The 27,439-nt window shown below is 45.8% G+C and overlaps 1 long non-coding RNA gene, 1 other non-coding gene and 3 pseudogenes across 15 annotated transcripts in view, besides 1 other annotated feature; 4 read left to right on the top strand and 1 right to left on the bottom strand.

The window, feature by feature from the left end:
* Positions 1–4,069, top strand: part of PDE4DIPP7 (PDE4DIP pseudogene 7) — a 29,158-nt pseudogene extending 25,089 nt beyond the window's left edge. For 3 of the 13 annotated variants that reach the window (XR_007066584.1, XR_007066590.1, XR_007066583.1), the window contains 3 exons: positions 648–870; positions 2,200–2,334; positions 3,459–3,844. The product of XR_007066584.1 is annotated as a PDE4DIP pseudogene 7, transcript variant X5 (transcript). Of the gene's footprint in view, positions 1–27 lie in introns of those variants that run through there. The other 10 variants (XR_007066588.1, XR_007066589.1, XR_007066587.1 and 7 more) reach the window with 8 other exon arrangements.
* Positions 4,070–11,121: 7,052 nt separating this feature from the next.
* TRV-CAC1-7 (tRNA-Val (anticodon CAC) 1-7) lies at positions 11,122–11,194 on the top strand. Its single transcript has one exon. It is a non-coding gene; the product is annotated as a tRNA-Val (tRNA).
* On the top strand, positions 14,911–15,185 carry LOC100189498 (transfer RNA-Gly (CCC) 6-1; annotated as a pseudogene).
* Positions 18,030–21,537, bottom strand: LOC644634 (uncharacterized). Its single transcript, NR_145442.2, has 2 exons — positions 20,733–21,537; positions 18,030–18,568 (listed from the first exon to the last, which is right to left on the bottom strand). It is a non-coding gene; the product is annotated as an uncharacterized LOC644634 (long non-coding RNA).
* Positions 21,287–21,909: an enhancer, noted in NCBI's record as "H3K4me1 hESC enhancer chr1:149287863-149288485 (GRCh37/hg19 assembly coordinates)". NCBI's record gives its function as "activates a minimal SCP1, AML or CMV promoter by ChIP-STARR-seq in naive H9 embryonic stem cells {active_cell/tissue: H9 hESC(naive)}" and the evidence as "EXISTENCE:reporter gene assay evidence [ECO:0000049][PMID:30033119]".
* On the top strand, positions 23,450–23,595 carry RNU1-68P (RNA, U1 small nuclear 68, pseudogene; annotated as a pseudogene).

Genomic DNA, 27,439 nt, shown 5'->3' with positions numbered 1-27,439 from the left:
TGCGCTGTGATGCTCAGATATTACAACTAACACTACTGCTTATGTCATAGGCTGAGAAATGCCAGTTACTTTAGGGTGAAATGGGGAGTCCTTGGGAAATGAGTCTGCTGACATCTGCCTTAGTCTTCATTCCGTGGATTGCTTTATTAGCTTTCGAGGGCTTCCAAAACAAAAAAACACAAACCGGGCGTCTTAAAACAGAAATGTATTCTCTCACAGTTCTGGAGATGAAGACGTCTAAAATCAGGGAGTCAGCAGGGCCATGCTCCCTCTGAAGACTCCGGGGAAGGATCCTTCCTTGCCTCTTCCTAGTTTCTGGTGGTTTCTGGGTTGTAGACACATCACCCCAATCTCTGCCTCTCTTGTTACATGGTCTCCTTCTCTGTATGTCTCTTTATCTCTGTGTCTCCTCTCCTCTCATAAGGACATCAGTCATGTTGGATTTAAGACATACCCCCAATTCAGTATCATCTCATCTTAACTTATTATATCTACAAAAAACCCATTTACAAATAAGATCACATTCTGAAGTTCCAAGTGAACTGAATGAATTTTTGGAGGACACTATTCAACTCACTATAATTACCTTTAAAACACTCATTTATGACTTCCCTGTTGGTTTCTCACTCACATTCCTTTCTGGACAGATGCCAGCCCTGCCATTTCTGCTGATTCAGCTGCTTTGCCCAGCAACCAAGGAACCAGGTCTGCCCAGCCCTTCCATCCTTCGAGCGGCACTGGCCCAGCAGAGCAGGACACTAGAACACGGTAGCAGTGGCCCATGGGAAGAGATGAGGCCTCAAAAAATGAATGCATCTGGAGACCTAGCCTCCTTCTCCTCTTTGTACCAACCCAACTCCGAAACCTCTGGTAAAACACAAAGGAGCACTTAGTGAAATCGAGCCCATTGGTAGGAATGACACATTCCTTTCCTGGCCAGAGGATTTTTTGGTTCCTCTGTTAGAACCTGGTTCATAAAAAATGACAGGACAATATGTAGATCAGCCAGACAGTGAGAACCAGCTCAGTGCTTGTTCTTTGAAAGTGCCTTCTCCTAGCCACCCTACCTAGGAACTTACTCTGGGCAGGAGAGTAGGAGAAGTCAGGGACATTCTGAGGTGCTCTACAAGGAGGATAAGTTACCTCACACTTAAATGTTGCCTTCTCTCTGTGCTACAACCTTCTTAGGCCTAGATTAAGACTGTCCTGGAATGCTAAGCTCAGATTTCCATGGGGAAGGTCTTCCTTAGGTCAGGAGCTACTGTCGGATGGGAAACTATTTCTACAGAGTCACCCAGCCCTACACACTCTTTCCACTCTTTCACACACATCTTTCACACACACTGTGCATACAACCACGTGCCAATCCTGCCCCCATAAACATTGCTTTTGGATTTGGAGCCAAACATCCTGGCACCCGGCAGCTAGGAGTGCAGCTATTTAGAGGAATGGCTTGAAGCAGCTCCATTTCTGTGTCCCAGGTAGTGTAACAATAAGACATTTTAAATTCTCAGAGAAAAACCTGACCCTACGCAAAATCTCCCAGTGGGTGAAGCCTATTCTCAGCCTCCTCTCTCTGTGCATCTTTTTCCTTCCTTGGAGATTGTTCCCTTCTCTCCTGTTCCCCCTCTTCAGATCCTGATACCTTCCCAAGCTCTTCCATGTTCCTCTTTGCCAAAACTGGTTAAAGGAGAACATTCACTATCACTCATTATTCACAGCCTGGTTTAATTTCATATGCACTTACCTTGGTCTTTCTCTCTGTGAGTGAGTGAAATCTCAAAGGCTGTTGAGTCGGGATCATCATCGGGGAGAGGGATGAGGTAGAGAGGGAGATTCTCTGGATTGTTTTCCATACCAAGGAGGTAGACAGCCTTTCCCATTACTAGGCCAGTTCTGCCTAGAGGCCTTTAGCAGTTTCTCACCCTGTGTCCATCTCCCTTAGATGTACTTGGTGGTCTCTGTCTGGGAGGAGGCCTGTGGTGTTTCCTTACAGGGGGCCACCCTGTGATTGAAAGCCCAGGACTTTTAAGTAAAGTTGCCTGGTGCTTCCTGAATGCCCAGGAGAGAGGAAGAAGCTGACAGAAGGATAGAGATAGGTAGGGATCTTGCAGAGAGATGCCAGGCAGGCCCCACAGCTGCCCAGGGATGATCAGGCTTCCCTACCTCCTACCTCTCCTATGTCTTGGTGGTTTGCAGTAGGGGCTGACCTGCTGGAAAAGAATCTTGCTGAGATACAGAACCTGCGCCAGCGCCTGGAGGAGTCCATCAGTCTCAATGACCGCCTGAGGGAGAGGCTGGAGCATGTGCTTAGCAATGGTGACCAAGGAAAAGGTAGAAAGGCAGAAATTTTATGTTTCTGTCCACGTCTAAGGAGTCTCAAAAGGGCACATAGCTTCTTGGGGCAGAGTTTTACCGGTTTAAAGCACATTGGTGTGCATGATTTCACTTGTTCCTTACAATTAGCCCAGATAGGGAAGCAGAAGGGTACTATTGCTCCCACTGAGTGGTTTGCCCCAAGCAGGGATAGGTCTAATTCTCAGGACTATCTGAAGTGATGTCATTCTTATATGTCCTTATACTGCCTGGTGCTGTTCTTGGGCTTGTGGCCTGACTGGCGAGTGGTAGCACCAAGGTTTCCATGGTGCCCACTTCAGCAGAATGAGAGCAACGTTCCACCTTTATGCCATTACTACATGCCTTTGATATCACCTGGCTCTTCTCTTGTGCTAATGACCCTTATTTCAACACTCTTCACCCTGGATGCTCTCACTTGGAGACCAGTTCTTCCCCATCCCTTCTTCTCTCGTATTAAAGCCAGAAGAATGATGACCTACAACATCATAACTGAAGCCAATTAGTGGGAAAGACCCTGATCCATACCTGAAGCCACTGCACATGAGAGTGTGTGGCCTACTCTGGTGTGCCCAGCAAAACCTGAGCCTGAGCCATATTGCACTGCTATCCCAGTGCATGAGGTCCGCAGGTTTTCAGATTAGCTGAGACTAAAACTTTAATGGATGCAGGAAAGTACATCTTTGAAAGTATCTGTTACCTAAAGGTATGACTTGTCTGGGTTGTTTTTATTCCCTGTGAAGTATCTACCTCCATCTTCCATGGGTAGGACCTGTAGTCCACACCCTAGTTGTGCAACAGGAAAAGGGCTCAGGGAAGCAAACTGGAGTTTTCAGGCTTCCAGAAGGAAAAAATCAAAGCTGAAGTCACTTCCATATTTCTTCCTTTCTGCAGCAATGCCCAGTTGTAGAAGCAAAGAGAAGTAAGCAGCACAAAAGTTGACCAGATCCACACAGCCTAAAACTATAATAGCTTATTCCCAATCTAGATAAGGCTGCTTCTTAAAAGATCCCACCTACATGTTCGCAGACTCCTGGCTCCAGGAGTAAATATCTCTGGAAAATCTACATGTCATGTTTAAGTTCCTTTCCCAATCTTTGCAGATAATCAGAGAGTCACTAGCTGTCAACTAGAAAGCTTGGTGTCTCTCTTCCTGTCTTTCCCACTTTCACCTGGGTACGGAATAGGAGAGAAGAAATGTAAGTTTTTGTTTGGTACAATCAATGAATCTCCTAAATCCCTCCAGACTTCATTGCAGCCCTGTCTCTCCCTCCCTAGGTACTGCACAGTCCACTGTAGCCCCTCATTCATATACTCAGAGTCACTCTTCTGGCTGTGGCGAGGACATCCTGTGACATGATGCCTAGAGAGTCTGGAAGAATGTTCTCCAGAACTTTTCTAGCCCTATCCAACAGAATTCTTGGGTGGGAACTTGGAGGCATTGGATATTATCTTTAAATGAAGAGATCAAATTAATAAATTATTTTTAAAATTAGTGTTTATATTTATTTATTGAACACCTATAAAGAGTAGAATTTGTGTAGAAAAGAATAAAACCAGAATGGTCTGAAATGTGTGGAAAAGGTTAAAGGAGAAATGAGTTTTCTTTATTAGCTATCTCTGTTTCAGAAGACTAGAATGGGAATTTCACTGCTGTGGGAAGGTAAGAAATATTAATAGATAGTGAGGATGTAGAATTCCTTGACTTCCATTACATGCTTAGGAAGAACAGAAAAACTGTCACATGTGAAAGGATTGCAGAATAAAATCTGAATGTTTTAAAATGAGGACAACTTACCATACCAGGTGAGCTTCACTCAAGAGAATGACAGAACTCGTGAAGAGCACGCTTGCCTCGAGCCTGGAATATAGCCATTCTGACTACTGTGAGATGATATCTCACTGTAGTTTTAATTTGCATTTCTCTGATGATTAGTGATGTGCATTTTTTCATATGTTTGTTGGCCGCTTGTATGTGTTCTTTTGATAAGTGTCTAGCCATGTCCTTTGCCCATTTTTTAAATAGGGTTATTTGGTTTTGTCTTGTTGATTTAAGTTCCTTATAGAGTCTGGATATTAGTCCTTTGTCAGGTGCATAGTTTTCAGATATTTTCTCCCATTCTGTAGGTTGTCTGTTTACTCTGTTGATTATTTCTTTTGCTGTGCAGAAGCTTTTTAAGTTTAAGTCCCATTTGTCAATTTTCGTTTTTGTTGCATTTGCTTTTGAGGTCTTAGTCATAGGCCAATGTCAAGAAGAGGTTTTCCTAGGTTTTCTTCTAGCATTTTTATAGTTTGACGTCCTATATTTAAGTCTGTAAACCATCTGAATTAATTTTTGTATATGGTGGGAGGTAGGGGTCCAGTTTCATTCTTCTGCATTTGGCTAGCCAGTTTTCCCAGCACCATTTATTAAATAGGGTATCATTTTCCTCATTGTTTATTTTTGTCAACTTTGTTAAAGATCAGTTGGTTGTAGGTGTGTGACTTTATTTCTGGGTTCTCTATTCTTATCCATTGATTCATGTGTCTATTTTTGTGTCGGTACCTTGCTGTTTTTGTTGCTATAGCCTTGTAGTATAGTTTGAAGTTAGGTAATGTGATGCCTCTGGATTTGTTCTTTTTGCTTTGGATTGCTTGACTATTCGGGCCGTTTTTTGGTTCCATGGGGATTTTTTTTTTTTTTTTTTTTTTGAGACAGGGTCTCACTCTGTCACCCAGGCTAGAGTGTAGTGGCATGATCTCGGCTCACTTCAACCTCTGCCTCTGGGTTCAAGTGATTCTCCCACCTCAGCCTCTTGAATTAGCTGGGACTATAGGTATGTGCTACCACACCTGCTAACTTTTGTGTGTTTTGGTAGAGATGGGGTTTCACCGTATTGGCCAGGCTGCCCTTGAACTCCTGACCTCAAGTGATCCTCCTGCCTCAGCCTCCCAAAGTGCTGGCATTACAGGTGTGAGCCACAATGTCCAGCCCCATAAGAATTTTATAATTTTTTTTTAAATTCTGTAAAAAATGACATTGGTAACTTGATAGGAATTGCGTTGAATCTTTAGATTGCTTTGGATAGAATGGTCATTTTAACAATATTGATTCTTCCAGTCCACAAGCATGGAATGTTTTCCCATTTGTTTGTGTTGTCTATTATTTCTTTCATCAGTGTTTTGTAGTTCTCCCAGTAGAGATCTTTCACCTCCTTGGTTAAATATATTCCTAGGTGTTTAGTTTATTTGTGTGTGTGTGTGTGTGTGTGTGTGTGGCTATTTTAAATGGGATTAAGTTCTTGACTTGGCTGTCAGCTTGAGCATTTTTAGTGTATAGAAATGCTACTGATTTTTGTATGCTCATGTTGTAACCTGAAACTTTACTGAACTTGTTTTTCAAGTCTAGGAGTATTTTGGAGGAATCTTTAGAGGTTTCTAGATGGAGGATCATGTCTTTGGTGAACAGAGATAATTTGACTTCCCTTTTTCCTATTTGGATTGCTTTTATTTCTCCTGACTGATTACTCTGGCCAGGATTTCCAGTACTGTGTTGAATAGGAGTGGTGAGAGTGGACATCCTTGTCTTGTTCCAGTTATTAGGGGGAATGCTTCCAACTTTTGCCTATTCAGTATGATATTGGCTATGGGTTTGTCATAGATGGCTCTTATTATTTTGAGTTATGTTCCTTTGATGCCTGGTTTGTTGAAGGTGTGTATCATGCAACGGATGTAACATTTTATTGAATGCTTTTTCTGCATCTATTGGGATAATAGTATGGTTTTTGTTTTTAATTCTGTTTATGCAGTGAATAGCATTTTTTTTTGCGTCTGTTGAACCATCCTTGCATCCTAGGAATAAAGCCCACATGATCATGATGAATTATCTTTTTGATGTGCTGCTGGATTCAGTTTGCTAGTATTTTGTTGAGAATTTTTGCATCTGTGTTCATCAGGGATATTGGCCTGTAGTTTTCTTTTTTTATTGTGTCCCTGCCAGATTTTGGTATCAGGATGATACTGGTTTCATAGAATGAGTTAGGAATCCCTCATCCCCAATTTTTTGGAATAGTTTTAGTAAGATTGGTACCAGCTCTTCTTTGCACGTCTGGTGGAATTCAGCTGTAAAATTCTGTCTGGTCCAGGGCTCTTTCAGATTAGTAGAATTTTTATTACTGATTCAATTACATAACTCATTATTGGTCTGTTCAGGATTTCAATTTCTTCCTGGTTCAATCTTAAGAAGCTGTGTGCTTCCAGGAATTTAACTATTTCTTCTAGGTTTTTCTAGTTTGTGCATGTAGAGATGCTCATAGTAGTCTCTGAGGATCTTTTGTATTTCTGTGATATGAGTTGTAATGTCACCTTTGTAATTTCTGATTGTGCTTATTTGGATCTTTTTTTCCTGGTTAATCTAGCTAGTGGTCTATCAATCATCCAAATAACCAACTTTTCATTTCATTGATCCTTTGTATTTTTTTTTTTATCTCTGTTTCATTTAGTTCTGCTCTGATCTTAGTTATTTCTTTCCTTCTCCTAGCTTTGGGTTTTGTTTCTTCTTCTTTTCCTAGTTCTTTAGGTGTGGTATTATGTTGTTAATTTGAGATCTTTCTATCTTTTCAAGGTAGGTATTGAGTGCTATAAACTTTCCTCTTAACACTGCTTTTCTATATTCCAGAGTTTTTGGCACATTGTGTCTCTACTTTCATTTGTTTCAATTTTTTTTATTTCTGCCTTAATTTTATTGTTTACCCAAAAATGATTCTGTTGTTTAGTTTCCATGTATTTGTGTGGTTTTGAGAGTTCCTCTTGGCATTGATTTCTGCTTTTATTCTACTGTTGTCTGAGAAGATGCTTGATATAATTTCATTTTTTAAAAAATTTATTGAGACTTGCTTTATGACTGAGTATGTGGTCAATCTTAGAGAATGTTCTGTGCACAGATGAGAACAATGTATATTCTGTGGTTGTTGGATAGAGTATTCTATAGACATCTATTAGGTTCATTTGGTCAAGAGTCCAATTTAAGTCCAAAGTTTCCTTGTTAGGTTTCTGCCTCAGTGATCTGTCTAGTGCTGTCAGTGGGATGTTGAAGTCCTCCACTAGTATAGCATGGCTGTCTATTTCTTTGCTTAGGTGTAGTTGTATTTGTTTTATAAATTTGGGTGCTTCAATGTTAGGTGCATATATATTTAGGATAGTTAAATCTTCTTGTTGAATTGAATGCTTTCTGATTATGTAATGCCCTTCTTTGTCTTTTTTCTTTTTTTAACTCTTGTTGGTTTAGTCTGTTTTACTTGATACAAGAATAGCAACTCCTGACCTTTCTTGTTTTCCATTTGCATAACAGATCTCTATCACTTTACTTTGAGCCTCTGGGGGCTATAACATGTAAGATAGGTCTCTCTTAAAGGCCATGGAAAGTTTGATTTTTTTTTTTTTCCCAATTTGCCACCCTATGCCTTTTTTTTTTTTTTTGATGAAGTCCCAGGCTGAGTTCAGTGGTGCGATCTTGGCTCACTGCAGCCTCTGCTTCCTGGGTTCAAGTGATTCTCCTGCCTCAGCTTCCCGAGTAGCTGGCATTACAGGCGCCCATCACCACGCCCAGCTAATTTTTGTATTTTAGTGGAGATGAAGTTTCACCATGTTGGCCAGGCTGGTTTCGAACTCCTGACCTCAAGTGATCCACCCACCTTGGCCTCCCAAACCGCAGGGATTACAAGTGTGAGCCACCACACCTGGACTACTCTATGCCCGTTAAGTGGAACTTTCAGGCCATTTACATTCAAGGTTAATATTCATGTGTGAGGTGTTATTTCTGTCATAGTGTTAAGCTAGTTGCTTTGTAGACCCAATTATATATTGCTTTATAAGGTGTACGAGCTTTGTAATTACATGTGCTTTTATGGTAGCAAGTACCATCCATATTTAGAACTCCTTTGAACATTTATTATAGAGACTATCTGGTGTTAATGAATTCCCTTAGCATTTCTCTGTCTGGGAAAAACTATTTCTCCTTCATTTATGAAGCTTAAATTGGCAGAGTATGAAACTTTGACAGGCAGTTTTTTTTTTCTTTTAGGTGGCTAAAAATAGGCCCCAGTTTCTTCTGACTTGTAAGATTTCCGTTGAAAAGTTTGCTGTTAGTCTGATGGGATTTCCTTTATAGATAATCTGGCCCTTTTCTTCAGCTGCCTTTAAGATTTTTTCTTTCACATTTATCTTGGGAAGTCTGATGACTGTATGCTTTTCAATGGTTATCTTGTATAGTATCTTGCAGAAGTTGTCCGAATTTCTTGTATCTGAATATCAATCTCTCTTGAAAGGTTAGGAAAATTCTTTCCTGAATTATTCCTTCAAATATGTTTTCCAGGTTGCTTACTTTTCTTCTTCTCTCTCAGGAATGCCAATAAGTCATAGGTTTGATCGCTTTACATAACCCCATAATTCTCAAAAGCTTTGTTCATTTTTAAAAATTCATTTTTCTTTACTTTTGTCTGACTAGGTGAATTTGAAAGACCAACCTTCAAGCTCTGAAATTCATTCTTCTGCTTGTCTAGTCTATTATTAAAGCTTTCAATGTATTTTGAAATTCCTTTAGTGAATTTTTCAATTATAGAAGTTCTATTTGTATTTTTCTTAATATAGTTTTCTTGTCTTTCATATTCTGTATTGTTTTTCTGATTTCTTTGCATTGGACTTCAACTTTTTCTTGGATCTCATTGAGTTCCCTTGCAATCCGTATTTGGAATTCTTATCTGTCATTTCCGACATTTCAGTCTGGCTAGGATCCATTGCTAGAAACTAGTGTGATCCTTTGGAAGTGTGTAAATACTCTGGGTACACTGGAGTTATTGCACTGATTCTTTCTCATCCGAGGAAGCTGTTGCTTCTTAGTTTTGAATTTGGTATTGTTTGGATGAGGATTTTTAATTTTTTTATTCTTTTTTTCCCTTGATGGTATGACTGTGGTGTATGTTGTGTATGATTGTTTGGCTTCATTTCTGGGTGCTTTCAGGGAGCCCTAGCTTTGTATGGGTTTCTTGGTTGTGGATAGCTTCTGAGCAGTAGCTTTCTCAGATGCTGCTTGTTGTGGTGATGTATTGGAAGTAAAAGCTAACACAGTAACCCTTGTTGGGGGCTGAGGGTACGGAATTCTCAGGAAACTTATCTCATGGACTAGCACTAAGCCCTTTGGTAGCAGGGTTTTTGAATTCAGTGGTCCAGTTTAGGATGCAGTCCAGTAGATGGTGCTTAAGAGTCAGGGCTGTTACGTAGGCTGGTGTCCAGTGGAAAAACCTGCCCTGACAGGATGGTGGGAAAGAGATCATGTCGGGGTGTGCTGAGGTCTCAGGGGAAGGGGCAGAGGTGCACTAGCTCCTCCTCCTGAGTAGGCAAGAATGTGATCCGCTTCCCTATCATGCCCTGTCACAGAGCTCACAACCTTCATTTTATAAAGACTTTGTCCTTTGGTTCCTGGCTGTGGTGCAGCTGAAGTCTGTGGATATGCCACTCTGACAGCTACCACTAAAATGGGGTTTAGGGCAGAGCCTCTTCCCCGAGTCCAGGGCAGGCAACTCCATGGTCTGTCCTCCATTGCCAGGGCACTGCAGCTCTGTATAGGGAGGGAGAGTTGGGCCCGTCCTTCCTGAAAGCCCAAGCAGCACAGGCTCACTTTCAGCCTGGGTGGTGCCACCATGAATAACGTGCATAATGTTCTCTCCTGGTGCACACTCACTGGGTCCTGGAGAAAAGAACCACTGCTATGTCTGCAGCCATATACGGGGTAGGAGAGAGATGATCCCTGCTTTTCCTGCTTTTCCACTCCTGTTCCTGGGTGTCAATGCTGCCCCCTTCTGCGATTGGTGCCATGCCAGTGTTTTCTTCGTCCCTAGGAGGGCTTTGGGACAGTGAGCAAACAACTGTTCTGATAAACGCAATTTAACCCGCGACCCTTGGCTCGCTCAGGTCGTGGGGTTGGGCCGCCTTTGCGCTTTTCCTTTGGATCTGCCCTTCTTCTGGGTTTGTTCTCTCGAGCTAGGGGAAGGCCTGGGTCCCCTCTCTTTGGCTCCTCTTGCCGTATCAGAAACCTCACACTTCTTCCTTTTCCAGAGAAGCTTCAGAGTGCTTTGTTGGGTTTGCTGGAACTCGGCAGGGCGCAGTATGTGGGGATGCGCGCTGTGAGTCTCTGTTTCCTCCGCTGTGACGGCTCTTCCCGCTCCTGTAGGAAAAGGCAATGCCCCTTTTGTCTTGTCTATGTGGGACTCCAAAGGGTCCAGACGAGACAGAAAGGGGGCGAATCCTCTCAGAGTGGGCAGGGGAGGAGATACAATATGGGAATGGGGCGGTAGAGGGGTGGGATTTCATGAAATTTCCTGATTTAAGGCGATCATGAAGTAGGCCTCTTTGGGAGCTTGGCCCTCCAGTCGCTGGTAAGGGTAACAGCCCACCAGTCTCTGGTGAGGTCCAGTCGCGTCCCCCGACTGCATTTAGAGCCAAAAGCAGAACGAGGCCGGCTCTGCGGCCTGGCGTCCAGTGACCCAGCTGTCTGCATATTCCCCAGGGTGGAAGCACTTGGACTTCAGGTGTGAAGGCAATGCGGTCACCACCACAGTAAGAAAAGCAACTAGGGAAAATGGCACCTTCTTCTCCCAACTTTTTTTTGAGACTCTCGCTCTGTCGTCTAGGCTGGAGTGCAGTGGTGCGATCTCGGATTTGGAAACTATAATAGAAACGGCCGATCTAAGATTTTCATGGTTATATTTTGCCGTGCAGGTACTGCTTGTGGTTTCCGTAGTGTAGTGGTTATCACGTTCGCCTCACACGCGAAAGGTCCCCGGTTCGAAACCGGGCGGAAACATAGGTTTTTTTTTTTTTTTGTTTTTGTTTTTGTTAGCCCTTAAATTTAGTGAGTTTACTCGAGGTTGGAAAACAGAAAAGTAGTTGAACCTGTGACTACATTTTAGACCTCATCAATCTATACAGATTGTCGACCAGGCTACAATTTCCACTGGTCTGCCAGGAAGAGGACGTCACAGCAGGCCTGCTTAATATTAACTTTGGTTCCAGCAATTCCTTAAGGTTCTCTTCATTCTCTTTATCGCCTGAATTTTCACAGGCAGACACCGAAAGTGGATGACATGTTAGCGCATTTCCTAAGGGTCCAGCTTGGCTTCGCTTTACTCTGATACAGTTGCAGATCTGGCTGATTTGCGAGACAACAAAAACAAAATGTTTTTTAAAAACGTTCCAAATCTGCATCTGGAACTCATGGAGTCAATATTCCGAAATCACACGAATTATGTACACACATTTGCATGCATACCCCTTCCCCAAATAATCCTCAGAAAACCGGTAAGCGTCCAAACTACTCTCCGGAGGCTTAGGTAATCAACAATTTAATAAATACAATTGCTAATGTATGGTGTACAGATCCTGTATTGCCCACCCTTCTCTATTGCTTTGTCCCCGCGCGCCCTCTGTTTTGCCTAAATGGGTTCCAGGCCATAGCCACCGACTCTCGCTTTGCCTTCTGGCCTCTCGGCAGTGCGCTTCAGCACCATTGCGCCAGGTGACGCTGCTGAGAACAGCTGAGTGGCCGGCACTAGTGCAGCTGGAAGCCAAGGCCCAGAATTCTCAGGAATCTGCACTTTACCCAGGCGAAAAGCCCAAGGGCTCTCCCCACAGCTTCCCAACATCCCTCTACAGAGTTTTTAAATATTAGACTTATTAACCTGTAGAGATGGAGAGAATCAAAGAAATCACAAGGTATCTCTGAGGGAAAAAGAAGAGCACCAGCAGTAAATCACTTAAGAGTATTGAACCAGCAAGCCAGGGATAGGAGAATGGAATGGAAACTGACAGGATGACTGCAGAGGGTGGTACTGAGGGTGGATGCGAACCACTACTTACTATTAATATATTGAGCCAAGCACACTAATGGGGGCATAACCAAAATACTTAATAGGGCACTCTTTTACCCACCATGTGTTTTACAATATAGTTGCTAAAGGATGTATCACCCTACTGGTTCTAGAAGCTTCTGGAGCCAAGGAGCCAGAGCATGAGAGCATAAAAATCCTGTCAATTGAAGCCTTGGGCTCTACACTGCTAAGCCTGGCCCAGAGGCTGGATTGCAAATGCAGGTGCTAGTGTAATGGAATGGATGTTTGTGTTCCCTTCATATTATATATTGAAGCCTTAACCCCCAATGTGAAGGTATTTTGGAGGTAGGGCCTTTGGGAGGTAATCAGGTTTAGATGAGGTCATGACCATGGGATCTCCATGATGAGATCAGTGTCATTATAAGAAACAGAAGAAAGACGAAAGTGCTCTCTTTCTCTCCACCATGCGAGGACAGAAGGAGAATGTAGCAGTCTGCAAGCCAGGGAGAGAGCCCTCACCAAGGAGGTGAATCCGCTGGCAGTTTGATCTTGGACTTCTCAGCCTCTCAAACTGTGAGAAAGAAATTCCTCGTGTTTAAGCCACCCAGTCTGTGGTATTTTGTTATGGAAGCCTGAGTTAAGACAGCTGGTTCACTGGGGAATCCACTGGTGTGAACCTGTGAAAAGTTTGTGACATGTGAAGTAGTTTGCTGCTCCTGGATTTGAGTATTGGCAAGAGCTGTTAGAATGATGAGCATAGAGGGAAGAAGGGTACAGAGAATATGGTATTAATCATTGTACTGAAGAAATAAAGGGACATTATATGGTTCTAGGCTGAAGTTATGTGCAGATTTAAGCTGTGGAAGGGTCACTCAGCATACAGTGTGGCAAGTGAGTGGTGCATACTACACTGGCTGTAGGGAGTCCAGTTTTTTGTTGTTGTTGTTGTTGTTGTTGTTTTTTTTTTTGAGGTGGAGTCTTGCTTTTTCACCCAGGCTGGAGTGCAGTTGTGTGGTCTTGGCTCATTGCAACCTCTGCCTCCTGGGTTCAAGCGATTCTCCTGCTTCAGCCTCTCGAGTAGCTGGGACTACAGATGGGTGCCACCACGCCTGGCTAATTTTTTTTTTTTTGTAGTTTTAGTAGAGATGGGGTTTCACCATGTTAGTCAGGATGGTCTCAATCTTCTGACTTCGTGATCCGCCTGCCTTGGCCTTCCAAAGTGCTGGGGTTACAGGCTTGAGCCACCGCACCTGGCCAGGAGTCCAGTTTTTTGTCTGCTTATGTTAATGGATGCAAGAGCCGATAGATGGAAAAGTGTGGTAATAAAGTGGCAGTAAGCTTGTGGAGTATCCAATAAACTTAAACGCTATTTTTTTTGAATTGAACTGAAATTGTTGTGTTATGAAAATGAGAGAGTTTATCCAAAGAAAGATCTGGCTCGGCAAATAGGATAGATGGTGGTGAGGATAAGTGTGCTAGGCAGGGCTAGAAACAGGTTTTAGTGATCATTGAAACACCCAGGGCAGTGCACTACTCTTTGGGAGATGCTGTGCTTGAGTCTGATCATTGGGTTTTGAGGTAGAGGGTGGTACATATTGCTGACAGGGAACTCACCGGTGTGTTGAGTTTTAGCATCTGTGACTCTGAGATGCATATGAGGCCTTTGTAAATTTAGAAGCTGAGAGTAGAAAGTACAGGTTTGTATTTTAGAAGGAGATTTGGGAATAAATGTAGCTCTGGTTGATATAGATAATATGTTAAGGTTTGTTGGCCAGAGCTGGTGTGTGTCTTGGGTGTTGGGCAAAGAACAGAGAACAGTCAAAGCTCTGTGAGGTCAATGTGAAGGGTGATTTCCTTGTTGGGCTCAAGTTTATGACCCAGCCTGGACCTAGCTTGGCTTCTCAGCTAGAGAAGAAGCATGATTCCATGTCACAGCTCCTGTCTTTGAAAAAGTCATAATGACTCACAGACCCAACATGTGGGGCAAACTCTCTGAATTTTTCTCTTCAGTTTAATCTCTCCAGGGAAAATTGAGAAAAGAAATCTCTCTATTTGAACTTCATCAAAAGACTAATATGTTAATATTTTGACCATCAATATTTCCTTAAACTAGTCTACTCCTTACATAGCTAATACATCAAAGCATATTAACTTAGGAAATTGGATTCTCTCTAACAATGAAATATTGACTGCAGGCATTATTAATCTTTTTATATCACATTTCCTTTAAATGCTTTATACATCTTCAAGCAGACAAATAACAGTATTATGGTTACAAGACCGATCATTACTCTTTTGCCAAAAAAACCAGCGACAAAAGACTAACTCAGTGGACCAACCTTTGTTTCTTCATTATCTCTACCTTGATTCTGTCCTTTTATTTCCTCTTTCCTCTAATTCTAATTCTGCTTCTGCTTCTTATTTCCTCCCTGGATTAGAACTTTACTTACCTAAGCTACCAGTTAGGTTACCTTCTCAGAACCACTAAGGCAGCAGTTTGACGTTGACAATTGAAGATTTAGGATTAGAAAAAAGAAACATGAATGAATTTGTGACGTTTTATTATAGGGGTATGTAATGCAGGTAGAAAGACCTTTTTCAGAGTTAAGAGTTTGATCCGACAAATGAGCTATTTTGATATTTATAACTTTGTTTAGTAAAAGTTTCCTATAAAAACATTTGGTTTGGATGTCTTTGTTAGCTTTGTTTTGAGTCGACACTTGAAAAGGCCGCTTGGAAGTTTCTAAGTCTTTCTGGATACTCTTTTCAATAATTCTCCCAGGGTTGCCAGAGAGAGGCAGTGGTGGTTCAGTGGTAGGGTTCTCGCCTCACACGCGGGAGACCCGGGTTCAATTCCCGGTCAAAGCAAGGGGTTTTTTTGCTCTTCACTATGGCTCTTTACCCTTCTGCCCTGCAGAATTACACTGCATAACCTAATAGTGCATTTAAGGGCTTGGCCACCACAAGCTAAACTGACAACAACGCTGACCAAAGTAGCAGCAAAAGAAATTCAGGAGACTAACCCGGGACCCACGCAGTTGTTGGACTCAACAAACCGCTAAGCAAAGTGGCAAGCACGTAGTGTTTCTGGTGAGTCACTGCAGTTTTGATATTGGTACCTGTTACTTTCATCTGTTCTCTGGGCGGATTCCTGCAAACCCAAGAACCATCAGTTTCCTGATTCGTGTGCTGGACCTTGGGCTTACCGCTGAGCCACTACGGAGAGGAACAAGAAATGAAGCTCCCGGAAGGAGAGAAGCTGCGGGCGGGGCAATCACCTCGGAGGTCCAAGAGGCCTCAGCGGCCCAAAGAAAGGGGAGGTGTGTGCGGGAGAATCTCAATGGAGATGAGGAGAGCAGCGGTGACTGGTCCTTGCGCAGAGTGGTCCTTGCACAGAGGTAGCCAATGGACCCTCGAGGCTGTACCCCAGACACCGCGAACCGAATTTGCTAACATCTTCAGCCACCGTGGCCTCCGCGTGTTTTGTGGGCCCATCGGTGTTCAGTGAGGGATTCCGTGTGTCTGGCAATGTGTGTCAACAGGTGTTGGCCTGAAATTTGGCCGGGCACGGTGGCTCACGCCTGTAATCCCAGCACTTTGTGAGGCCGAGGCGGATGGATCGCTTGAGGTCAAGAGTTCAAGACCAGCCTGGCTAACATGGTGAAATCCCGTCTCTACTAAAAATACAAAAATCAGCCGAATGTGGTGGCGTGCACCTGCTATTCCAGCTACTTGAGAGGCTGAGGCAGGAGAATCGCTTGAACCCGGGAGGCGGAGGTTGCAGTGAGCCAAGATCGCGCTACTGCACTCCAGCCTGGGCGACAGAGCAACTCCGTCAAAAAAAAAAAAAAAAAAAAAAAAAAAAAAAAAAATGGAGCGAAAGAAGGGAGAGGTGTCGATGTCGATGGGACAACGAGACTTCCCAGGAGGCTTGTTGTAGAGGCAGTGGCCAGGTCCTGAGAGATGAGATGTTTTTTAAATTATGTAGCGGAATGGGGAGAGAGTAACGGAGAAGCGCATGAAAGAGAGAAAAGCACGAAAATCTGCAGACGTTCGAGAATAAAGCAGAGAAAATAGTATGAGTGTTTTTACATAAAAAAATATAAGAAGTACAATGGTTGTCAGCAGGCTTTTTGGTCGTGTAGTGGTCAATACTTGCAGCTGTGGTTGCCGCAACCTGGGTTCTAATCTGAGTCACAGTAGTGTTTTCTCTCCTGCGATTGTAGCTAAAAGACCTGTCGTTTGCTTTGCCTTTAATCCTAGCAGCCTCCAGAGAGCGGAGTAAACCGCTGGCCCGGAAGGGCGCCAGCTTCTGGAGTTTAGCCCACAGTGCGTAAACTAGGGGGCGGCCTGGCCAAAATGAAAACTCGGACATGCTCTTTGTCTCACAATGGAGCAGAAAAAATTCCCATAGGTGAAGATGCCGCCTCTCAAGGGCCCTTTGTCTGTAGCTTCCACTGATGAAATAATACGGTTATAGTCTCATCTGGTAGAGAAAACGGCTGTATCAGTGGGATTTTTTAAAAACACAAAACGAGAACGAGCTTTTAATGAGTTTACAATAAAATCTAAACTAGTTGTCATGGTCTACACCGGCTTGCCTCCATTCCCCATCCGCTAATTTTTATGAGAACAGTAAATTATTACTATTACTATTATTTTTGAGATGTAGTCTTGTTCTGTCACCCAGGCTGGAGTGCCATGGCTCAATCTCGGCTCACTGCAACGTCCCGTTTCCCGGGTTCAAGCAATGAGAACAGTAAATAAACTACAGTTCACATAAAGTGCACAAATCTTTAGTGCAGTTCGTTTATTTTTGATGAATGTAATCACCACCCAGCTCAAGTTATAGAAAATTGCCATCATCTGAGAAAGGCCTGTTAGAGCCCCTTTCCAGGCAATTCCCACCCTGTGTCCTCTTAGTTAATCACTATTCTGATGTCTATTCCCATAGGTTACAATTGCCTGTTCTTAAAGTTCACATGAGTGAATGGACATATCTTTTGTATCTGGCCTTTTTTCTGCAGGTATGTTCATTATACTCATGAGATATATCCACGTAGTTTCATAGATCACTTCTCAATTTTGGTGTTATTGAATTCTTGTGATGAATATTCTTCTACAGGTCTTTTTGTGCACTTGAGATTCATGGAAGTACTTCAATTGCTGGGTCACGACCTGAGTACAAGTTTAACATTAGTATAAATTGCCAGTCTTCTAGAATGTTTTTTCACCAGCAATGACAGTTGAAGTGGCACCAAATTCTTGTCAGCATTTGGTGTACTAACTTTTTAAAATGTAGCTATGCTCTCAGACCAAACTGGCCAACATGGCAAAACCCCGTCTCTACTGAAAATATAAAAATTAGCCAGGCATGGTGGCATGCACCTGTAGTCCCAGCTACTCAGGAGGGGGAGGTTGCAGTGACTCAAGATTGCACCAATCGCACCATTGCACTCCAGCTTGGGTGAGAGAGACCCTGTCTCAGAGAAAAAAAAAAAAGTAGCCACACACTGGTGATTGGTTAGTGGTATCTCAGTGTGGAATTAATTTGTACTTGCCTAATGAGCAATACTATGAAGCATATTTTCTTATGGCTTCCAGCATATAAGAAATTCTCCTTTGCAAAGGCCTATTCGAATATTTTGCCCGATTTTATTTGGCTTAGCTCTATATTACTGATTTATGAAAGTTCTCTTATATATTCAGGAGTTGAGTCATTTTTCAAATAAATATATTGCAAATGACTTTTCCCAGTCAATGACTTGACTGACAACTGAAAGCTGTCAACTGAAAAATCACACAATTTATAAATTTAGAAAGGAGATTTTATTTTTTTATAAAGGGTTACAGCCTGCAAGTGGCCATTCTGACAGACTGGGAGGCATAGCTTCCTGCTGAAACCCGAAAAGTAGGTTTCCAGGGAGGGGAGGGCGAATAGTGATTTACGTTGATCTGGCTGGCCACATATACATATTCAACAGGGAATAGGGGGAGCTCTGAATATTTGTGAAGGGATCCTGCTGCATGCATGCTGAGTAAACATGCCTGTTACATGCAACCCATGTTCACTTTGGGGTGGAGACAACATTTAAATACATTATAATTAGGCCCTATGCTTCAAAAGGTGAAGCAGGGACACAAAGGCAATCAAGTGCATAGCTTCTGTAAACTGTCCAGAACCCGCCCACGGCCAGTGGTCTCTTATCAAGAGAAAACTACTGAAATCAGTCTCTTGTCCAATCAAAGCAGTAGTTACGGCTTGTGTAGGGAGGGCTCAGTCAGTTTATGGTAATAGGTGAGCTGCAAGTGCTTCAGCATTGCTTATCTCAAGGCCAGTGCTTGTTTAGCTAGAGAAAAAAAGGAAGAAGAAAAAAAAACTGGCAATTAGAACATAGTGCCTACTGCCACACACATACCACCAAATCCTGCACTCCAAGCTTCTCCTTCTGCACCCTGGACTCCCAACCTCCAGTTAGACAATCCACATCTTCCCACACCTGCCTCAGGCTCCATCAGGCCACTGTGCCTCCCATAGCAACCAGGCCAGGGGGGATCTTGATTCCTATTACGTTTCTGAAGAAGGTGGTCAGGGGGTGTGGAGGATGTAGGTGGGAGGGGGTGAGGTTGAGGGCAGAAGTACACTGTGGTCTTCTGTCTTCTACCTCATTGGCCCAGGTGCTGCTCTCCCTCCGGTTGTCTGCTTTCAGCCCTTCGTGGGAAATCAGGTCTGCACCCTGATCTTCCTGACTCTCATTTTGTGAGGAACCTGAACGGATGAGACGTCGCTCTTGTCCCACAGGTTCTGTCCAAAAGGTGCCCTCCTCTCTGCTTGCTCGGGGGCCTGCCCACTGAGCTCTGGCACTCAGGCTGGGATGCCGCCCAGTACAGAGGCTCTGCAGCCCTGCAGGGGTCTGACTGTTCCACACCAGCAGGATACAGGCCACAGGGCATGCTGTGGTGGAAAAGCATTCAGAGGTGTGGGCTGAAGGCTTCTCTTTCCACAGTCCCTTTGAAGATCCCATGGAAGTAAGCACCCCTTTGAGGAACAAGGTGGCCCAAGGCCTGGCTTCACATGCAGGCTCTTGTGTCCCAGTGGGTCCTCTCTGTGCCTGGTATAGCCGACTGCTTCACACATCTTACCCGGTTTCCTCTCCTCCACCACCCAAGCTCCTCCTCGACCCCCTTGCTCAGCTGTCCTTAGGACAGCAAGATCCCCAGCCCTTGGAAAAGCCCTATCTCCAGTGCTTGGGGAGGGAGTTGGGTTCAGGTCTTCTAACCACAGAAGAACAGAGAACCTGAGGCAGGAGGGAATCCCTTCCCTTGCTGGGTCTCTTGGCACAGCCCATCTAGGGGTCTGGGTCAGGGTCCAGGTATCCTCTACCCTCCTTGAGGACCTGAGTTTTCAGGTCCCCGGGGTTTGTCAACGTAGAGTCTTTCCCACTGTTCATCTGGGAACTGTAGGAATATCCCATGGGGCCCTCTCTTACTCATTAGAGACACCCAGAAAGTACTCCTGCAGAAACTGGGTGCAGTGTACCAGACCACAATAATTCTAATTACAGGATGTGGAGGTCAGATACGTTTTGTGACTATTTTCTCTCTGTCTGTGGCTTGCTTGCCTTTTCACTTTCTTAGTGGTATCTTTTGATGAGAAGGTATGGCTAATGTTGATGAAGTCTAATTTATCATGTCTTTTATATATATTTTTTCAGTGTCCTACTTGTTGGTAGGCTAATCTTTACCTACAGAGTATCCTTGAAATGCTTTATATCTTTAACTTTTAAGTTTTGGTGTATAATGCACCTCAAATTACTTTTGTATGTAGTGTGAGGGAGAATAACATTGTTGGTCTCCCCCACCTCCATATGAAAGTCCATTAATTGAAATGATTTATTTTCTTCTATTGAACTGCTTTCATTGAAAGCTCATTTATTGACTGTATGGCTGTGGATCAGTTTCAGGTCTCTTAACTCAGTCTGTTTATCTATTTGTCCCTCCTGATGCCTTGTCTGTAATAGCTTATAGTAAGCCTTGAAGTCAGATAGTACAAGTCCTTGTTCTTTTGCACACATTGCAATAACTGGGTCTGGATTTAGTCCCGTTAGTCTGAGTGGGACTAATGCCACTATAAAAGGGACCCCAGGGAGCTCTCTCTGCCCCCTGAGGATACAATGAGAAGGTGGCAGTCTACAACCAGAAAAAAGTCTCTCATCATAACCCTACCATGTTGGCACCTTGATCTCGGACTTCCAACCTCCAGAACTGTGAGAAATAAATTTCTGTCGTGAATTAGCCACCCAGTTTATGGTATATAGTTATGGAAGCCCGAACTAAGACAGAGATGGAATCCCATGGAGGGTCTCTAATTTGCTGAGCTGGTCATCAGGTGGGATGTTGCAAGTTAGAAACAAGAAGAGCTGACATTTTGTGCATATGAAAGAAGATAGTGGACAGGCCCATTGTCGTCGGCTTTGTCCGCCTTGGCGAACTGGAGACGGAAGCTAGATTCACCTTCGACAGCCACGGGAGGACCGGGAGGACCTCCAGAGGAGGTTAGGTCGACCTCATGGTAACTTTAGATCCTGAAAACTCACAGGATTTTTCTTGTCTTCCCTTTGATCTCTCTTCCGCCTACTCAACAGGACAGGACTCACCGCCTTTCTTTCCCGTCAGAAAGGGATCCCTTCCGGACAGGACAGAAGTGAGCAGATGGTTTCCCCTACGTGTCTTTCCGGGCCTGGGCGTCTCAGGAGCTCAGGCTGACCTGAGACCTAACTCCTGGCAAGTGGGACCAGCAGGAGCCTGGAAGAGCGCGCGCACCGGGGTGGAGGTTGGGCGCCGGGGGTGGAGAACCGCAGTCAAATCCTCTTCTTCCCCGCGCACCGCGCACCTGCCCCCGGGGATGCCGAACGAATTGGCCCATAAAGCTTCTCTGCAACGGAAAGAAGCCTGAAGCTCCAGGAGGTGCGAGAGGAGCCTCGTTGAGCGAGCCCAGCCCTCTGCCCGGCTGGCCCTGGTCAACAGGCTCGGAAGAGGCCGATTTGGAGGACAGAACGGAAGACAAGACCTAAAGGTTTCGAATCTCATGATGTGGAGATGTTAAAGCCTAAATCCTAAGGTCCGACTGTGAGGGGGAGCGAGGGTGTCTCGAGCTGGATCCACCCTTGAGCCTTCACCTGGAGAGTCCTCTGCACAAGTTCAGAGAGAAGGACTACGCGCAGCAATGGTTCTCAACAGGGGGCAACTTCGCCCTCACATGCCTCTCCCAACCCCGCTGGGACACTAGGCCGCGGCTGGGGGAAGCGGGAGGGAGAATGTTATCCCCCTGGCATGTGTCTAGTCAGCGGAGGAGACAGATGCTGCTAAACACCTTGCAATCCACGGCGGGAGGGCCCCTCCCCCACCCCGAAGTAGCCATTCGGCAGAGGTGGAGAAACTCGCGTGTAGATCAATGCCCACGCACTTGGCCGACGGAAATCACGAATTGGTGACCAATTGGATCTTGGATCTGAGGAAAAAGCTCCAGCTTCAGAGGGAACTCTCGAAGTTTTGCCCAGAGCAAACGGAGGGGTTGCGTTGCCATCGCCTAAAATGGGAAAATGGCAGGCGTCACAGGTTGCAGGGGAAGGTTGGAGACCAGTTGAGTGCCCCGGAGCCTTCCTGGAAAGAGTTTCCTATCCAGCCCGTCTCGGTTTCCGCATCCGTCTGATTCCTTATGATGTTGAGGGTGCCGGGGTCTGGGTCCTTTATGATGCAGAGGGTGCCCCTGTCTCACCTCGGGCGCCTCCCCGCTCCCGCCTCCTCCTGGCAACCTGGTGGGCGGCTCCGGACCCGGCGACCCGCGACCATCTTGTCAGTTGCTGCCGCCTCGCAAAGGGCATCTCTAGGCCAGTGGTGAGCTGCGGCCGCGTGGCCGCAACTCGCTCCAGTACTCAGGACTCCCTCGTGGAGTCCTTGGTGTGTCGCCTGCAGGTTCTTTTTTTGAAGAAAGCAGGGAGTGAACGGCCTTGTGAGACGACTCCAGGAGCAAAGGGCGACTCTCACAAGACCCAAGTCCTCCTAGAGCACAGGAAAGTGTCGCTTCAGGTCGAAGAAGGGAGAGAAAGCAGCTTTCCGCATCTGCATGGTTGTCTAGTGGCTAGGATTCGGTGCTGAAAGCGCCACGGCCCGGGTTCGATTCCCGGTCAGGGAATTGTTTTGCACTGGCCGCCCTCCCGCAGAAATCTTCCTTTACCACGCTGTCAGCCGGCCTGCTCCAAGGGCCAGATGTAGAACAGCCTCCGCAGCGAGGGGCAAACCCGGGCAAAGGAGGGCAAGTCGTGGTGGGCCACCTCTCACGTTTATCTCCGTGTCTGTCATCCGCAGAAGCGGCTTTAGAGAGCGACTGAGCGTCTCGCTCAGGTGTACACAGCCGTGCAGAGAGGCCAGTCCCCGTGGAGCTGCACTTAATAAGCGCACCCTCTTTGCCGTCGCCGCCCCAGAGGTGCCTATCGGGCTGAGCTGTGAATAACTAAGAGAGAGGCCAAGCCAAGTCATGGCGTTTGTGCGTGCCCTGGACGTGGGCACCGGTCAGTCAGCGGAGCCTCCTCACCTCCGTTCGCAGCTAACATGCTCGTTAGGCCTTCGGAAGAGGCGACCGGAGGCGATGCCCGCGAAGTTGGGAGGGGAGTGAGCGGCGGGTGAGGTCCTCAAGGGCGGTCCCTTTTGCTGATTGAGCGGTAGAGGGAGGCGATGTTCGCTGACCCAACAAAGACAGCAGGTGGAGTAGGCACAAACGGAAAACTGTTGCCAGTGCCCTAAGCAGAATGCAGGTGTAAAAATCAGCACTAGGACGTCAAAGCGATGGTACCACAGTCAAATCCCACAATGTCTACACTCTACCAAGCACTTGCGCACGCTCCCCCTTTTCCATTCAGTATTCCCAAGAGGGGTTTGGAAGAACCCCGCGTCCACTGTAAGCTCAGGGGAGAGCGGGAGCCAGGGAGGTGAAGTGCACAGACTGGACAGAGGCGGCGGGCAGAACCGCGGGGGTGAGAGGGCGCGTGGTTGCGGGGCGGGAGCCACTGCTGAAAGGCGGCCTGCGTTGTCGTGTGGGGTGACTGTCGGTGGAATCTTTGGCAGAGAGTGGTTTGGAAGAATGGCGAAGGGGGCAGTGGGTAGGGTGGTGACCCTGAGCGTCCGACCAGGGCGAGGACGCTGTGCTGTCCCTGCAGGGCATGCGCTCATTCCCACTTACCTGGCAGGAAAGAGACCGTGGTCACGAAGGGGGTTCTCCCAGAGTGAAGCTTCTTCATCGCACTCTAGAGTTGCTGATCTCTGTGATTTCTTCAATGTGGGAAACGGTGTTTGTGCTAGAAGAGGGCTGCGCTCTCTACCTAACATAAACGGGGTTCAAAACTGACATCGCCTCACGCCTACCCGAAAACGTTTACGTGGCTTCCTTGTCTCTTTGTTTTTTCTGTCCTAAAGTCGCCTTATCCTCACACCCCCTCATGTTTTTCTTTCACACTCGAGAGTGTCTCTCCGTCTCATTAAAAGCTCCACCAAATATTTGAAATATCTCAACCAGAAAGGCTGCAATGAATACAGTATTTCATTTGTGGAAGCTACAGACCAGCTAGGTTGAGAGTTGCTTGATATTTTCTGCTAAACCGTGAGGCATAGAGCACTTGGAAGGTTTCTCTTTGGGCCTTTGTTTGTGTACTATTGGGTTTCCTTCTTTTCCCCAGACCGTATGGCGCTGTGGGGCCAGCGGTAAACCCTGCTTTCTGGCTGCAGATAAAGGCCGCAGCTGGTGCAGGAATTAAAAGCAAACCAAAAGACTCGTGGGTTCGCCCCAGTGGGTCCAAGATAGAGTCTGACTGTACCAGGATTCAGATTAGAACAGAGGTTGCTGCAGGCACAAGGCAGGGTACTAACCACTATAGAATCCCAATGCGCCCCACACCTACTGCCCGTCGTTTTGCTTCCCCACCCCTCTTTTATTTATTTATGCATTTTTTTTGAGAGACAGAATTTCGCTTTGTCGCCCAGGCTGGAGGGCAGTGGCGCGATCTCGGCTCACTGCCACCTCTGCCTCTCAGGTTCAAGCGATTCTCCTGCCTCAGCCTCCTGAGTAGCTGGGACTACAAGCGTCGCCACCACACCCAGCTAATTTTTGTATTTTTAGTAGAGACGGGCTTTCACCATGTTGGCCCGGCTGGTCTCGAACTCCTGACTTCAAGTGAGTGATCCACCCACCTCGGCCTCCCAAAGTGCTGGGATTACAGGCGTGAGCCACTGCGCCCGGTCCCCCGATTTTTTTTTAATGTAAAAACATTTATGCGATTTTTACGTGTTTATTCTTGGGCAGCTACAGGTTCTTGTGATTTTCCCTCACGTCTTCTCCAGTCCATTCTGATACGTGTCCCATCTTCTCTGCATCCAGCCGCTGCCCTCTGCACCGGCATCCTGGGCTGTCCCATTGTCTCGTCCTGGTCTCCCCTGCTTCTTCTCCCTCCTTCTTTTCAGGTTTTCCCTTTTGACTCCCCTGCCTCTTTCCCGCTCCCGCCCCACCAACCCCATCTACTGAAGCCGAGTTGAGTGAGGGGATAGCAAGCGGAGTAGATGATTGCCTGAAGGCGGCGCAAAAAAACAGAAAGAGCTACCTACCATGAGAGCCGTCGGGGCGTTCAGCTTCCCTTGGGCCCTACTAGGCTCAGGCTGGGGTCGCAGATCCAGGCATTTCCAGAGGCACTGGCTTCTGAAGGAGGCGAGGGTTAATGGAGGGTGAAGGCCATTCGGCCGCCCTTCTGGTTTCAGAGTCAGGCAATGCAAGCGTTTCTAACGTGCAACAACACGATTAGTCGACTCAGCCTCTCCGGTTTTCCGAAGCTTTGTAGTCTGCACAGTTGTCCTGCAGAAAGCGAATGGCAACCCCTAGAGTTTAGTGATTGCTTAATCTATGTTGAGATGAAAGCGACCAACTGAGGTTATCTCCGTGGAGCAATTGGTTAGCGCGTTCGGCTGTTAACCGGAAAGTTGGTGGTTCGAGCCTACCCAGGGACGTGCTTTTAAATGTTGGTTAGTTGTGGTCAGGCGCGGTGGCTCACGCCTATTAATCCCAACACTTTGAGAGGCCGACGTAGGGGAAGCCTCGCCTGAGCTCAGTTCAAGACCAGTGAGAATCCCATCTCATTAAAAAAAAAAAAAAAAAAAAAAATTGCAGTTGTTTCTCCTCAGGCCTATCACTGTATTTAAAAAGTGAGAGATTGTTCCCTTGTGTCTTGTGCATCCTATAAGTACACAAAGCAAAAGGTCCCCCTCCAAGCCTCCTATAAAATAAGATCCCTCCAGATCAAACTAGGTTCCAGATAGGCTGGAGTGCAGTGGAACAATCTTGGCTCACTGCAACCTCTGCTTCCCGGGTTCAAGCGATTGTCCTGACTCAGACTCCTGAGTAGCAGAGATTACAGGCGTGGGCCACCACACCGGACTAATTTTTGTATTTTTAGTAGAGAGAGGGGTTCACCATATTGGCCAAGCTGGTCTCAACCACCTGACCTCAAGTGATCTGCCTGCCTCAGCTTCCCAAAGTGCTGGGATTACAGGCGTGAGCCACCACGCCCAGCTAAACAGTCAGATGTTAAAATTATATATTCGTCTATTAGATGTCATGTCTAGTTTTTTTTTTTTTTTTTTTTTTTTGTACAACCAGATTTTCATCCGATGTCAGTTTCGTTCTGCCTGGAGGACTCCTTCAACTTTTTTTTTTTTTTGTGGTAATGGCTGGTGGTAGTGAATTTTCAGCTTTTGTAGAATTTCACATTGACTTTTCCCCTCAGTGCGGTTTTTTTTTTTTTTTTTTTTTTTTTTTAGAGGGAGTCTTGCTCTGTCGCCCAGGCTGGGGTGCAGTGGCACCATCTCGGCTCACTGCAAGCTCCGCCTCCCGGGTTCATGCCATTCTCCTGCCTCAGGTTCCCGATTAGCTGGGACTACAGGCGCCCGCCACCATGTCCAGCTAATTTATATATATATATTTTTTTTTTGTAAAGACGGGGGTCTCACTGTTTTAGCCAGGATGGGCTCTATCTCTGGACATCGTGATCCACCCGCCTCCGCCTCCCAAAGTGCTGGGATTACAGGCCTGAGCCACGGTGCCCGGCGGCTTTGTGTTTCATAATCTTTTTTTCTGCAGTGTCTAATCTGCTGTTAATTGCATCCAGTGAATTTATTATCTCAGATGTTGTAGTTTTTAATCTCCAAAGTTTGATTCTGACCATTTTTATATGTTTGATACCTCTGCTTAATTCTTTGGACCCATAGAATATTGACATAATAACGGTTTTAAAGTCCTCTGTTTTCTTTTCTTTCTTTCTTTTTTTTTTTTTTAAGACGTAGTCTCACTCTTGCTGCCTAGGCTGGAGTGCAATGGCACAATCTCAGCTCACCGCAACATCTACCTCTTGGAATTAAGCAATTCTCCTGCCTCAGCCTCCCGAGGAGCTGGGATTACAGGCATGCACCACCACGCCTGGCTAATTTTTGTATTTTTACTGGAGACGGGGTTTCATCATGTTGATGATGAAAGGTCCCAAACCTGAGACCTTTCACATGTGAAGCGAACATGTAATCACTACACTACAGAAACCCCTCACAGTTCCTGGCACAAGACATATTCCTGAAATGTTACCATCTGCTGTTTTTAACTACTAGGGTTTCCAATATAACAAATTCGACTGCTTTTCAAAATTTGAGTGATAAATACGCCAGGAAACACAATCCCTCAGGCAGACAGGCTGAACCCTCATTTACGGTTCCACGCCTAGCCCCGAAGCCAAGACCCTAGGGACCCCCAATCTGGCTTCGGGATCCCGCATCTCATGCAGGGTTTCCAGGAACTGAGTGCCCGTGTGTGGGATTCTCCCTGCTGACTCTCTGGCTCCCAGAAGCTTCAGGAGCTGGTGGAGCCATGAGTGTCCCGTGCCACACAGGAGTGTGAACGCCGCCCCTGCAGGGCTGCTGACTGCCCCTCGGGGGCCCTTTCCCCGGCGCTGGCCATTAGGGCTCTTGGCTCTTGACAGGCGATCATGCTTCGGGTCCTCCCAGGAACCATAGGACCCTCCCTGCCTGCTCTTCCACCAGGCTGAAGGGCCTGACCCGCACGCTCTTTCCTTGCTAGCCCTTTGGCCTCAGCACCTCGAATCTTCCAGAGGGCATCCTTCACTGCCACTCTCGCT

The sequence above is a fragment of the Homo sapiens genome, chromosome 1 (genome assembly GCF_000001405.40).
Source record: "Homo sapiens chromosome 1, GRCh38.p14 Primary Assembly".
Lineage (NCBI taxonomy): Eukaryota > Metazoa > Chordata > Mammalia > Primates > Hominidae > Homo > Homo sapiens.
The sequence above is the reverse complement of the archived record's forward strand: the minus strand, read 5'-3'. Positions and strand labels throughout refer to the sequence as shown.